Raw genomic sequence first — 15,788 nt, forward strand, 5'->3', positions numbered from 1 at the left:
TTTGCCCACCTGATTGCCGCGTCAGCAGAATTGTTAAAATACAATTGTGAAGAGTAATCTCCAGGTTTCACAAAGAATGGAAAATAGAACTGTTGCAACATCAAAGGAAAGGGAAGCCAGAGTTTTCATCAGTGAATGCTTCTCGTCTGAGAGTCACTTATCACGTAGTCAGTCTTCTTGAGTCTCTAAGATTTACCCTGTTGGAGCAGTCTCTCCCCATCTCACAGCGACCAGTGCATGTACATTTCTCACTTCTTTCATAGTCTTGTCCCCACGCTCAAGAATTACTTTATGTTCATCTTGATTGTTCTGTTGTCTTCCTGTGAGTTTTTCATTTTATCATGGTCAGTTTAGAAATATTTTTACAATTCATATTATTTCAACTTTTACTGTAAATTGGTTTGCTGCAGCCTTTTACATTGCAAATGTCTATGGTCTCTAATGGTTTTCAAAAATTAGAACTGCTTCTTTATATTTTATGCATTTTGCAAGTATATTTACTTAACAGTTTCACACTATTTTAAATAAAGATGACAACATTGTTAAGTCCCTAACCCCTTTTTTTTTTTTTTTTTTTGCCGGGGGTACGGCTCTCCTGTTGCCCAGGCTGGAGCGCAGTGGCGCGATCTCGGTTCACTGCAACCTCCGTCTCCCGGATTCAAGCAATCATCCTCCCTCAGCTCCCCACACCCCTCCGAGTAGCTGGGATTACAGGTGCGCGCCACCATGCGCGGCTAATATTTTGTATTTTTAGTAGAGACGGGGTTTCACCACATTGGTCAGGCTGGTCTCGAACTCCTGACCTTAGATTATCCACCCGCTTCGGCCTCCCAAAGTGCTGGGATTACAGGAATAAGCCACCTCGCCGGGCTCCTAGCCCTTTTAAAAATATTATTTTCATACAGTTAAAAAATATGTATCCTCAGATAATATCGAATAATTCTTATTTAAAATGGAATAATTTTTAATTAAATAGTCTAGTTAATAGAAAAATTTACTGCAAAATCAGTTTGGCTAAAATAAGGCCTGATGCTGACTGAACTTTAGGTGTTTCTTGGTTCGTTGTCTCAATTGTTCTGTTTGTTCAGAACTTTCAAAAGGTGAAATTTTATGCTGTTTAACAGAAAAGAATGGCAGGCTGTTATTGGTGGCTTTCATTCTGGAAAATTAAGTTCGCAAAGTTCTTACAAGTCACTCTTACTCCAAATCATGTTCTGTACTGACCTTTAAGAGCTACTCTCACAAGGTATGCTTATAAAATAAGGGGACTCGTTTTTAACATGTTTGTTCCCTTAGAAGTTGTTACCTTGGTAGACTATATACCAAACCAGTCCTGCTATTGCAGAAACACTTTTTTAGAACCACACTTTTGGAATTAATTGCTTTTAAACCTTAGTATGTAGTATTATGTTAAATATTTTCAATGCTGACTAATTTTTTTCTTCGAGGTTGGAGTTTAATTTTTTAAATACTACAAAGTCTCTTGCTGCTAAGGCTGGTAAGTAAGGGAAGTAATTGATGTGAAATTTATAATTTTGGCCTCCCAAATAAAGTGAGATTCTATAGCAGCAATTGTTAATGTAAAGAGTTCTGGAATTGGCTTAAGAGGATCAGTAAATACGCGGAGTTGGATACAGAAAGGATTCATTTTATGTATTATTTTTTGAACCAGAAATTATGAACGTATGATTGGACATGATTACATTAGATAATGTAATTTATTTTGTAGTGTTATGAACAAATAACTAAGTATTTTATTGTTTTAAGTTCTTTTATAAAAACACTTGAAGTTTTATTGAGATGTTTCGCATTTACAAATTATACTCGAATAATTCCGGAGACACTTAAGTAGGTCATATGCTTCCAGTTTTCAAAGAATGGCACAATCCTGGAAAATGCCACTCACCTATTCTTGTTAGTCCACCCTTTTAAATAATGACATATATTTGTAAGCTGGGAGGTAAAAAATAATCTGTCTGTATGGTATCTGATGTAAAGATGGAAAAGGTGTGATATTTTTTCTCATCAGTCATAAGGGGCACAGCTGACCCTCCTGTAACAAAAGACAGGTTAACAAGCGAAAAGCATAACAGATTTATTTAATCAAAGTTTTACACTGCATGGGAGCCTTCAGAAATGAAGCCCCAGAGACCGAAGGAAAACTGTCTGTATTTATGATTAGGTTCAATGAAGAATGGACAGCCATGTAGAAATGTGATTGGACAAAAAGAGTATGGTAATGGTAATAGACAGAGGTAGGGGAAACCCACCAAGGCCTGTTTGTTCAGATTTTTCTTGGCTTCTCTGTATAACTTTCTACTCCTCTAGTGGACCGGCCCGGGCTCATATGGAGTGAGGGTCTTCAGGGCGGAAGGGAAAGTGACCTTTCTAGATTTTTTGTAGGGAAGAAGGGTTGTAGTTTGTAATATACCGCCCAGGGGAGGAGGAATTCTGGTTTCTATGACTTCTTCAATGGAGAAAGAGGGGCAGGAGGTGGTCAGAGAGAGCTTTACTTCTGAGGCCCTCCAGACTCCTTTAATTCAAAGTAATCAGCCTACCAAAGTGCAATATTTTGGGGTATTGTTTTCTGAGCCCCAATACTGGCAATATGTTGCCTGATTACCTAAATTAGTGGTACGACTTACACTTAAAAGATTTTTGTGCGAACAGACAGATTGGTTATTCTAAAGGTGTGGTGTGTAAAAGTTGAAAGAATTTCCAGTGTGTTTTTTCCTATGAACAGTACAAAAACTTGTTACATGAGGAATATCAATATCTTGTTACATGCTGTCCATCTCCCTCATGTTTCGTTTTATGTCTCTTCTCCAAATGTAAGCTCAATAGGTGAATATCTTTTTTTGGCCATGAAAGTATCTTTTCTTCTGCTCTACTGAGTAACCTTTCTCTACCCCATTCTGTCATCTCCCTTCCAACTCTTACAATTTTTAACCCCTTATAATTCCGAAAATTCCACTTCAGCAGTCTCTTTTTGTCCCTTTCTCTAATGATTGTGAACTTTTTAGTTGCCTTAAATTCTTATCTCCTCAGCTACCTCAGTCTTCTACAAAAAAAATAGGTGAATTTTATGTAAATTTTTTCATCTGAGTCTCAACAATATGCACGGCAAATGAGATAACTGTCATAGATGACACTCACAGAAAAGTGTTTAACCAAAGTGTTTAAGTCAGCTGTGAAAATGGAAACTAGAAATTATGCCTCCTGGGCTCAAGTAATATGTTCTCTCTTCTAAGTATCACTTACCACAGTATTCAGTTTATCACCAAAACTCCTGACTTTATGGACAGGAGTAGAACTAATTCTGTTTCTTATACTTCCTGAGGAAGCTGACTTTATGGACACTGTTGGTTTTTCCCTCTGCAAGGCCCATACTTTGTGGAGGCTGGAATCTTTCAACCCAGCCTCCACTAGAGGTGAATAAGGATTGTTTATGCCAGTGATGATGGTCTCATCACCCTTCCCCCCAAGTTACTGTGGAAGCAGGACTCTTGGTTAGTGGGAGTTGGAGGGGAAGTCTGCTGGGGAGCTGCTCAAAATGTTTTCTCAGCAATAGTAACAAATGACTGGGAGGAAGAAATGTCTCATGTTTTGGATATTTTTATGTGAGACAACCCTGATCCTCCAATTCCTATCTGTAAAATCAGCAATTGTGATTCCTGTCATGCAGGATTTTTGATAACTAAAAAATATATGTAAGACATTTGGAAGAGTATCTAGCACATAGTAGGCATAGGACGAATTACATTCCTTCTTTCTACTGCATAGAATCAGTGTGCTTGAATCTTTGCCTCTTAGCCTATAAGCTTCTAGCCAGCTTATTGTTTGTAGATCTCTCATAAGCTTACCTACAACTTATCTGTCTCTGGCAGAACTACTTCTGACTTTCCATTTAGAAAGCAAGTCCATTCCAGACAGTTAGTTTCTTCATAAAATTAGGCATGATGCAGGTAAATAACCTAAATTATTATCTTGCACACAGGAGATGTAAACAGCAATTGTTACTGTATTTTGTTCTTGTCCCTATCTTTAAAATAGTAGTGCCATTCTCCCTAGTCTTTAAAATTTGTTTTAATATTTTCTTTTGCTGCCAGTCTGCGGATTCCGTTGTTCTGATTGCCTAAATGTTTAGCCTTAAAACTTCTTGTAGAGTCAGCTCTTGTATAGTTCTCCCCCACAGCTGCTAAGCTTAACGTTTTGATCACAGCTATAAGACTTTGTCCCCCTATCTCATGGGATTCTGAGTAAGCTTAAATTCCATGCTCTTGTTTCTATAGAATTCATTCTCAGCTCATGAGGACTCACACACAAACTTGGTAACACAAGAGATATTGTAATGAAGGGATGTGTATGTCTGTGTTTCAACCCGTCGCATGTTATATATTTTTATGAAAAGCATTTATTATCAACAGTCAAAATTTGCAATTTTTGTATTAAAATTTCCAGGTTTCCTTTTTATTTATTTATTTTTTGAGACAGGGTCTCACTCTGTTACCCAGGCTAGAGTGCAGTGGCACGATCACAGCTTACCGCAGCAATCCTCCCACCTCAGCTTCCCAAGTAGCTGGAACTACAGGCACATGCCATCATGCCTGGCTCATAAGTTTAATTACTTTTGTTGTTGTTGTTGTTGTTTTGGTAGAGATGGGGTTTTGCTATGTTGCCCAGGCTTGTCTCTCAAACTCCTGGGCCCAAGCACTCTGCCTGGCTTGGCCTCCCAAAGTGCTAGGATGACAGGCATGAGCTGCCACACCCAGCCCAATTTTTCTTTATTTAATAGACTTTATTTTTAGTGTAGTTTTATGTTCACAGCAAAATTAAAAGGCAGAAGATTTCCCCTATGTCCCCTGTCGTCTCTAACTCTTCTTTTAAAATGGAAAATCTGGAAAGATTGGTTTCCACATAGCAACATTTGCTTCAAGCTGAAGAGTAGCTGTCTGCTTTGCTGGGCTACCCACTACCCATTTCACTAGTTTGCAATTCACTCCCTGTTGGACTACAAGGAGCTGCCTTCATTCATGTGTGTTACCTCGCTGGTGTAGTTATTTGATAGGAAAACTTCTTTATGGAAGGAAATAACATTAACTTGTAATAAAAAATTCTACAAGCATCTGTTATGCCTTAGCCCATTGAAGCTACAGAAATCTCCAAAATATCAACATTTTGACTGTGTAAATGCACTTTGAGCTCTATATAGTAAACTTTAAAATTATGCGTATCAATCCTGTAATTAAGTTAAAACTTTGACACATTAAATTATATTGTCTATTTGTAACCAGTGATTAAGACGTATAATTGCAGAGCGTATGACGCAATAAAGCATGGTACCATTTAAGAAATATCATACAGCTCAAGTGCTCAGTTAATTTTCTCATTAGAAATATTAGTCCGTTACTGCTTTAAAAAAAAGTTATGATAAGGCAGTCATTTCTCCATTGCTAGTTAAATCAGCTACATCTGCCCCTCCCCCCAACCTGAACTCCTTCCAAACCATTTCTGCTGTTTGCTCACCTAAGCCGAAAACCTGTGCCGTCTTCCATTTCCATTCAGTCTTCCATGTCTACTACCACAAGGTTCTAACAGTTCTCTCTGCCTCCAGCCTTTTTCCCTCTGCCTTTTCTTCCACATTGCTGCCAGAGTAATCTTTCTAAAATTCAAATTTGACCATGTCACTCCTTTCAGTAGTTTCCTAACTCTTGTCAAAAAAGGCCAGCCACCTTAACTTGATTCCTGGTTGTCACAGAAGATGGTGATGTGACTGGTGGAAAGATATCAACAAACAGAATGTAACGTTTCATATATGGCAAAGGCTATGGAGACTTTTGGAGAACTTGTGTTATTTTGTATCTGAAGCTTTTCTGATAGGGCTTCTCCATTTAAAATGTACACTGTATTTCCCTGATTTACTTTTCTGAGTATTAACTCTTTTAAATGTAACTCAGATATTATTTTTTCCAGAAGACCCCACTGCCGCTAGGTTAGGTGCTTTCTTCTGTGTTTTCATAGCTCTTTGTACATCTCAGTCATTATCATGTGTTCTATTAAAAAAATGTGAAATAAGTGCTCCATGTTAACACAGATTTCGAAAACAAACACAATTTACTTTGGAATTTCTCAAAATCTTTAATGTGCTAAAGTGGATCAGCATTCTCCAAGAGACAGCTATAGTATGAAGGATTTTCCAAACAACACTGAACCATTTTTGGAGCTATTTGTTTTAAATTTCCAGTTTCTTGCTTTTTCATTCTTATATCAGTTGTGTAAGTATGTGTGTGTGTGCAAGTGCTGTTGTCTTTTGTTGTTCTGATATTACATAAATTTATAGTCATCTTGTCTTTGCTCTTGAGTTTTTTATGTTTCAATTTGTTGAATTTGGTGCACAGTTTGCGTGATTTTTTTTTATTCAAACCTTTATGACGTTCTCGTTTCTGTATTTGAGCTTCCCTGTTGACTTGTTTGTGAATACTTACTGTTTGCCATAGTCTGCTTCTGGTGATGAAGAATAAGAATGACGAGTCCTTAGGTAGGGCAAGTTGATAGTTATCTTCTGGAAAAGGAGGCTTCCTGGGGAGTCAGTAGCTGTCATGGGGTTAGTAACTTCCTGAGGAGTCTCCGCTAGCTTAGAGGCTGTCTCTGTGTTAATCTGAATGCAAATATTACTGCTATTTACCAGCAACAAGCTGGAAACAAGCTAGGAAAAGAGGCTAATTCCCTAGCCTACCTGCTGCTCCACGAATGTCACCCTGTTGATTAATTACTCTGAGAAATGCTCCTGACCTGCCTTCTTCCCCCCAAACTCTTAGTTTGCATTGACCTGGTTCAAGGGCTTAGAGGACCTTCAAACTGCTCCAAACTTTATATTGGACTTATGTTTTGGATTGTGATTTTTTTCCTTGTTTACTTTCTTTTTCTTCTTTTTTTTTTAAATGTTCACTCCTTTCTTACATGTAATCCTTTCTGTTTGTCAGTTTGCTCAAAATTTATCTGTATATGGTAGTTTTTGCTTTTCAGCACTGTTATGGATTTGCTTTTTAAAAATCTGTTTTGTACTTCTATCAAAACATCACAAGTACCCCATAAATATGTATAACTATTATGTATCCATAATAATTAAAAATAAAAAATCTGTTTTGATTTTTTTATCTAAATCATAGAGATTTAGATAGGATGTTTGTCTGTCTGTTCTCCATCTATTCTAAGCACTTGAATCTTTTATTTGCAAGATTCACCTATAAACGTTACTTGAGTTACCCAACACTGAGGAAAATGCATGACATCATTATCTTGAATTGATCTTTTTAGTAACTTGAGTTTCTCATCACACTGTATGCTCATTCAGAGCACAAAACACCCCATATTCATCTCTGTATTTCCATTTCCTTGCAGGATGCTGGATATATGGTTGGTGTTCAGTTAAACTGAGTCTTATGAAATCAAACTAAATATAAACATAAATACAAAATATAAACTAAGTGGGCTGGCTGCAGTGGCTCACTGAGCGCCTGTAATCCCAGCACTTTGGGAGGCTGAAGCGGGTGGATCGCCTGAGGTCAGGAGTTCGAGACCAGCCTGGCCAACATGGTGAAACCCTGTCTCTACTAAAAATATAAATATTAGCCGGGCATGGTAGCAGGCGCCTGTAATCCCAGCTACTCGGGAGGCTGAGGCAGGACAATCACGTGAACCTGGGAGGCAGAGGTTGCAGTGAGCTGAGATAGTGACATTGCACTCCAGCCTGGGCAACGAGAGTGAGACTTCGTCTTAAATATATATATGTGTGTGTGTGTGTGTATGTGTATATATGTGTGTATATATATAAACTAAGTGATAAATTATTGTTTATTCTGTAAAAGGAAGCTTCAGAAATAGTGCCTCTGTTGCATTTTTAAATCTTTTAAAATTGATACATGATAGCTGTACAAACACTAGGTCTTATTTCTTTTATCAACTGTATATTTAAACTCACTAATTAATTTCATTTCCCCTCCTGTTTACCCTTCCTAGTGTCTGGAACCATCACGCTACTTTCTTTCTTTGTGGATCTACTTTTTTAGCTTTCACATATGCAATGTTTGTCTTTTTGTGTTTGGTTTATGTCACTTAACGTAATGACTTCCAGTTCCACTCATGTTGCTGTAAATGACAGGATTTCATCCTTTTTTATGGTGGGATAATATTCTGTTGTGTATTATGCCACATTTTCTTTATCCATTCATTTGTTGATGTGTACTTAAATTTATTACATATTTTGGCTGTTGTGAATAGTGCTGCAATAAACGTGGGAGTGCAGCTATCTCTTTGATTTTTTTTCTTTATTTTGGCAATATACCCAGTAGCAGAATTGCTGAATCATATGGCAGTTTCATTTTTTTTTTCAAGGTTCTAAAGGTGCAGAGATATTGTTAGTCTTTTGAGGAACCTCCATACTGTTCTCCATAGCAGACTCCAAATTAGTTGTACTAATTTACATTCCCACCAGCAGTATATCAGGGTTCCCCTGTCTCCAAATCCTTGCCAGCATTCGTTATTGCCTGGCTTTTTGATAAAAGTCTTTTTAGCTGGGGTAAAATGATTTTTTTTTTTTTTTTTTTTTTTTTTTTGGAGATAGGGTCCCACTGTTTGTTGCCCAGACTAATCTGGAACTCCTGGGCTCAAGGAGTCCCACTTCAGTCTTGCACGTAACTGGGTTTACAGGCGCACACCACCACACCCTGTATGCTGCTTTTGAGAAATGTTTGTTGAGATCTTTTGCCAATGTTTAAATCACATTATTTGTTTTTCTGCTTTTGAGTTGTTTGAACTCCTCATGTATTCGGTAGTTAATCCTTTGTCAGATGGATAGTTTACAAAAGTTTTCTCCCGTTTTTTGGGTTGTCTCTTTACTTTGTTGATTGTTCCTTCGCTGTGTAGGTTTTATTTATTTATTTATTTATTTATTTATTTATTTATTGGAAATGGAGTTTCACTTTTGTTGCTCAGGCTGGAGTGCAATGGCACTGTCTCGGCTCACCACAACCTCCGCCTCCCGGATTCAAGCAATTTTCCTGCCTCAGCCTTCCAAGTAGCTGGGATTACAGGCACTCACCACCACACCCGGCTAATTTTGTATCTTTAGTAGAGACAGGGTTTCTCCATGTTGGTCAGGCTGGTCTCAAACTCCTGACCTCAGATGATCGGCCTGCCTTGGCCTCACTGTGTAGGTTTTTAGCTTGATGTAATCCCATTTATCTGTTTCTGCTTTAGATGCCTGTGCTTTTGAGGTCTTACACAAAATTGTTTGCCTAGAACAATGTACTGAAGCATTTCCTCAATGTTTTCTTCTAGTAGTTCCATAGTTTCAGGTCTTAGATTTAAGTCATTAATCCATTCTTATTTGATTTTTGTGTATGGTAAGAGATAGGGTCTAGTTTCATTCTTCAGCATATAGTTACCCAATTTTCCCAGCACCGTTTATTGAAAACATCATCCTTTCTCCGTTGTATGTTCTTGGTGCTTTTGTTAAGATGAGTTGGCTGTAAATTATATTTGGGTTCCTTGTTTTGCTCCATTGGTCTGTGTGTTTGTTTTTAGGCCAGTAGCATGTGATTTGGTTACTATAACTTTGCAGTAAATTTTGAAGCTGGATAGATAGTGTGATGCCTCCAACCTTGTTCTTTTTGCTCAGAGTTGCTTCAGCTATTCAGGGTCTTGTGAGTCCATATAAATATTAGGATTATGAACAGTGAAAACACATGGATACAGGGAGGGGAACATCACACACCGGGGCCTGTCAGGGGGCGTTAGGGGAGGGATAGCATTAGGAGAAATACCTAATGTAGGTGACGGGTTGATGGGTGCAGCAAACCACCATGGCACGTGTATACCTATGTAACAAAACTGCACATTCTGCACATGTACTCCAGAACCTAAAGTATAATTTGTAAAAAAATTGTGATTGTTTCTATTTCTGTGAAGAATGTCATTGGTATTTTGCTAGGGATTGCTCCAAATCTGTAATTTGCTTTGGGTAGTATTGTCATTTTAATAGTATTTATTCCTCCAGCCACAAGCATGGAATATGTTTCCATTTTTTTTGTACATGTCCTCTTCAATTTCTTTCATCAGTGTTCTATAGTTTTCCTTGTTTAGATGTTTCACTTCTTAGGTAAAATTGTTTGCTAGGTATTTTATATTCTTTGTAACTATTGTAACTAGGATTACTTTTTTCTTTAGATTGTTTATTGTTAGCATATGTAAATGCCACTAATTTTTGTATGTTAATTTTGTATCCTGCAACTTTACTGAATTGGTTTATCATTTCTAACAGGTTTTTTGTTTGTCTGTTTTTTTGGTGGGGTCTTTAGGTTTTTCCAGTCGTAACATTGTGTCATCCGCGAACAAGGCTAATTTAACTTCTCTTTTCCATTTTAGATGCTGTTTATTTCTATCTCTTGCCTAATTGCTCTGGCCAAGACTTCCACTATTATATTGGATAAAAGTTTGAAAGTGGGCATGCTTGTCTTATTCTAGATCTTAGAGGAAAGGCCTTCAGTTTTTCCACATTCACTATAATGTCAACTGTGGTTTGTTATATATGGCCTTTATTATTTTGATGTATATTCCTTCTATACCCAGTTCGATGAGGGTTGTAATCACAAAGGATTTTATTGAGTGCTTTTTCAGCATCTGTTGAAACAATCATTTGTTTTTTGTTCTTGGTTCTCTTAATGGATATATCACATTTATTGATTTGCATATATATTGCACTGTCCTTGCATTCCTGGGGTAATACCACCTGATAATGGTGAATGATCTTTTTTAATGTTTTGTCGAATTTGGTTTGCTAGTATTTTGTTCAGGAGTTTTGTATGTATGTTAATCTGTAATATTGGCCTGTAGTTTTCTTTTTTCTTGTTTCTATGGGTGATGCTGATCTTGTAGAATGAGTTTGGAAGTAGTCCTTCTTCAATTTTTTTGAAGCATGAGTAGAATTGTTATTAGTTCTTTAAGTGTTTGGTAGAATTCACCAGCGAAGCTATCAGGTCCTCAGCTTTTCTTTGATGTGAGACTTTTTATTATGGCTTTAATCTCATTATTATTGGCTTATTGAAGTTTTCTATTTTATCATGGTTTAATCTTAGTAGGTTGTATATGTCCGGCAATTTGTTCCTTTCTTTTAGGCTTTCCAGTTTTTTAGCATATAATTCATAGTGGTGCCTAATGATTCTTTATAGTTCTGTGGTCTCAGTTGTCACATCTTCTTTTTCATTGTGACTTCATTTATTTGGGTCTTCTCTCCTAGTTCATCTAGCTAAAGGCTTGATGATTTTATCTTTTCAAATAACCAACTTTTCATTTTCTTGATCTTTTGTATTTTTGGTCTCAACTTCATTGATTTCTGCTCTGATATTTATATTTTTTCTCCTTTTAGGTTTGGTTCTTCTCTAGTTCATCAAAGTGCATAATTGGGTTGTTTATTTGAAGTCTTTTTACTTTTTTGATACAGTCATTTATTGCTATAAACTTTCTTCTTTGTATCACTTTTGCTTTATCCCATAGATTTTGGTGTGTTCTATTTCCATTTTCATCTGTTTGAAGACTTTTTAAAATTTACTTTTTAATTTCTTTGTCACCCCATTGGCTGTTCAGTAGCATGTTTAATTTCCACGTGGTTGTGTAGTTTCTGAAGTTCCTCTTGTTATTGTTTTCTAGTTTTATTGCATTGTGGTCAGAAAACATACTTGATGTAATTTCTGATTTCTTTGAGTTTGTTCAGACTTGTTTTCTGGCCTAAGATATGTTCTGTTCTGGAGAATGTTCCATGTGCTGATGAAAAGAACATATTCTGCAGCAATTGAGTGCAGTGTTCTGTAAATGTCAATTAGGCCTATTAGGTCCAAAGTGAAGTTTAACTTTGGTGTTTCTTTATTGATTTTCTGTCTGGATGATCTTTGCATTACTGATAGTAGAGTGAAAGTCCCCTATAGTTAACGTATTGCAATCTGTCTTTCTCTTTAGGTTCATTAATGTTTGCTGTATGTACTTTGGAGCTCTGGTTTTGGGTGCATAGATATTTCTAATTGTTATATCTGCTTGCTGAATTGACCCCTTTATCATTTTATATAGTGACCTTTGATTCTTTTTATAGTCTTTGATTTGTAGTCTGTTTTATTTGCTGTAAGTATAGCTGCTCCTGCTCCTTTTGGTTTCCAGTTGCATGAAATATCTTTTTCTACTCCTTCACTTTCAGTCTACGTGTGTCTTTTTATATGAAGTGGGTTTCTTGTAGGCAACATATTCTTGGGTCTTGTTGCTTTATCCATTCAGCCACTTAATGCCTTTTAATTGGAGAATTTAGTCCATTACATTAATTATTGATAAGTAAGGACTTCTTCCATTTTGTTGATTGTTTTCTGGTTGTTCTTAATCTCCTCTCTTCCTTTCTTACTATCTTCCTTTGTAGGTAAGTGACTTTCTTTGGTAGTATGTTTTAATTTGTTGCTTTTTTATGTTTAGTGAATCTACTATAGGTTTTTGCACTGTGGTTTTCATGAGGTTTACAAAAAACATATATGTAATAAGTTATTTCAAAGAGACAATAACTTAGATCACAAAGAAAAGAACAGAAACAAAAATATTTATGCCTTAATTCCTTCTCCCCAACATTTTGACTTTTAATTGTCTCAATTTACAGATTTTTATATTACCTATCTCTTAACAGGTGGTTGTAGCTATTGTTGTTTTTGATAGATTTTTATTTTGGGCCTCATACTGGAATTATAAGTGGATTGCACACCATAATTACAGTATTAGAGGATTCTGGGTTTCTCTGTGTATTTAATTTTACCAGTGGATTTCATGCCTCCAGATGTTTTCTCTTTGCACATTAATTTTTTTTCTTTCAGACTGATGAACTCCCTTTAGCATTTCTTATAAGATGGGTCTTGGGGTGAATTCTCCATGCTTTTATTTATGTGGGAAAGACTTTGATTCTCCTTCATATTTGAAAGATAACTTTGCTGGTTACAGTATTTTTGGATGGCAAGTTGTTTGTTTGTTTGTTCGTTTTTTCCTTTCAGCATTTGGAAAATGTTGTTCCACTCCCTTCTGGCCTATATGGTTCTCATTGAGAAGTCTGTTGCCAGACCAATTAGAGCTCCTTTTTATGTTGTTTCTTTCCTCTTGCTGATTTTAGGATCCTCTCTTTGTGCTTCACCTTTGAGAGTTTGATGATTATATGCCTAGGAGTAGCCTTATTTGTGTCAGATTTGTTCAGTGTATCTGACCTTCCAGTACCTGGATATTTATGACTTTCTCAAGCTTTGGAAGTTTTTCTGTGACTATTTCTTGGAATAAGCTTTCTACCCATTCCTCTGGCTCAACTTCTTTTTGAACACCAGTAATTCTTAGATGTGGTCTTCTGAGGCAATATTCTGTATTTCGTAGGTGGTCTTCATTTCTTTTCAGTCTTTTTTCTTCTTTCTCTTACTGTGTATTTTCTAATAACCTGTCTTCAGGTTTACTGATTGTTTCTTCTGCCTGATCCATTCTGCCATGGAGAGCCTCTAATGTATTTCAGTTCAGCAAACATATTTCTCAGTTCCAACATTTCTGTTTAATTGTTTATTATTACTTAAATCTCTTTGTTAAATTTCTCTGATAAATTTCTGAATTTTTTGTTTTATCTTGGAGATCACTGAGTTTCCTTAAATCTACTATTTAAATTCTTGTTCAGAGAGCTTACATATTATTATCTCATTAGGGTCAGTCATTTGTTCTTTGTTTCATCCGCTTAGGGAAGTCAGGCTCCCTGTTTGCTCTTGTTTCCTGCGGATGTGCGTCTATGTCTTTACTTTGACGAATTAGTTATTTATTCTGGTCTTCTCTCTCTGGCTTGTTTTGGTTTTATTGAATGTATTTGCTTAAAGACTCTTTACTGTAAGGTTTCTGCCTCCTTTTTGGTTCTCAGTGGCACTTTAAACCCAGGTTTGCCTTGGCTCTAATAAGTACCTGGAGCAGTGCCCATCTCTAATGGGGGAGCTCCCAAAGGGGATATCCCAACAGTGTGGGAAGGCTGGCAAACGGTTCCTGCCCATGGTTTCTGTGGAATATATCTCCTACAACATGGAGCTGCTGAATAGGCACTCTGATTTGGTGTTTTCTTTGGCTGCAGACAGGGCAGTTTCCAGGGTTGAGGATGGTAGTCTTGCCTCTCCCCTTTGTCTCTGGCTGTCCTCAGGAATATTTCTCCCTTCAGTCCTCATGATGCTTCTGGTGAGTTGAGGCAGGGATGAGTCTCCTGCCAGGGAACCAAAAATGGTGGGAAAGCCGATTGTTCACCTCGATCTTACTTTTTCCAGTGTAGAAATCGTGAGTCGAGGGGAAATTTTTTGTATGCTTGATGCTGGGAAGATTGTGGGGAGAGGCATCACAGGTATGGAAGTCCGATTCTCTTACCATCTGCTCAGAGTTTTTTCACTTCTCTGTGGCCCTGAGAAGTGACTGATCCTCATATTTGAGTTCTGGGATGTCGTTGGTGTTAATCTTAGTGTTACATATTTGTTGTTTTCTGTGACATTAAGTGAAGCCAGCTTGCTTCTGTGACACCATTTTGGAACTTGAATTCTCTAAAGCATATTAAGGTCTATTTGTTTCCATTTGGGGGACTATCAAAGAAATGAGGATGCCAGTTAATCTATATTCTTAATAACAAAGTGATATATTATTACAGCTTTATTTAGCCCCAACAAATTCAGAGCCACTGAGGTAAAACCATAGTAATTCTCTTCTCCCAGAGAAACTAGAAAATGAAATTATTAATTTGCAGGTCATTTAAATTTTCTCTTGTGGTGTGATTAAAATATTACTTTAAAGTATGTGTGTGTGTGTGTGTGTGTGTGTGTATTTATGTTGAAAATAGTACCACTGTCAGTATAAAGATATGGTTATAAGAATGTTTATCAAAGTGTGGTTTGTAAGAATAAAAGCTGCAAACAATCTAAATATCTAATAGTAGAAAATAGCTTAAATAATAGTATGACCATATACTACAACATTATGCAGCCATTAAAAATTATATTGTAGGCCGGACACGGTGACTCACGCCTGTAATCCTAGCACTTTGGGAGGCCGAGGCGGGCAGATCACGAGGTCAAGAGATTGAGATCATCCTGGCCAACATGGTGAAACCCCGTCTCTACTAAAAATACAAAAATTAGCTGGGTGTGGTGGTGTGCACCTGTAGTCCCAGCTACTCAGGAGACTGAGGCAGGAGAATCGGTTGAACCCGGGAGGCAGAGGTTGCAGTGAGCCGAGATCTCGCCATTGCACTCCAGCCTGATGACTGAGTGAAACCCCATCTCAAAAAAAAAAAAAAAAGATATTGTAAAATAACATTTACTAATTTGGAAAGATAATCACAATTGAGTGAGAAAAGAGTAACTTACAAAATTGATGTACAGTGTAATTATATTTTTATTTTAAATGAGGCTATGAATGTGCAAAGAAGTTTAGAAGATTATAGAGCAATATGTTTACAGTGGTTTTTTGGCAACTTTTTTTTAATGAGAATGAATGTTTTGGAATAAGTTTTTTAAAAGTATTAAAATAGCAACATTCAAAATCACATTTGTGATGAATATTCAGGGAATTATTCCTGTTTTAATTAAGTAAAACAAGTACTTATCTGTTGTTTAATGCAGCTAATCAAAATGCATTTCTAGATTGCCATGATTAACTTGTTTTGGAATTTGTTGATGGTTCAGCTCTCATTAATATTATAAGTATCACCTTCT

At 36.7% G+C, this 15,788-nt stretch overlaps 1 protein-coding gene across 18 annotated transcripts in view; it reads left to right on the forward strand.

The window, feature by feature from the left end:
- The window catches only part of VPS37A (VPS37A subunit of ESCRT-I), an 86,498-nt gene that overhangs the window by 746 nt on the left and 69,964 nt on the right, over window positions 1-15,788 (forward strand). The window lies entirely within an intron of this gene.

Source organism: Homo sapiens, chromosome 8, assembly GCF_000001405.40.
Source record: "Homo sapiens chromosome 8, GRCh38.p14 Primary Assembly".
Taxonomy (NCBI): Eukaryota; Metazoa; Chordata; class Mammalia; order Primates; family Hominidae; genus Homo; species Homo sapiens.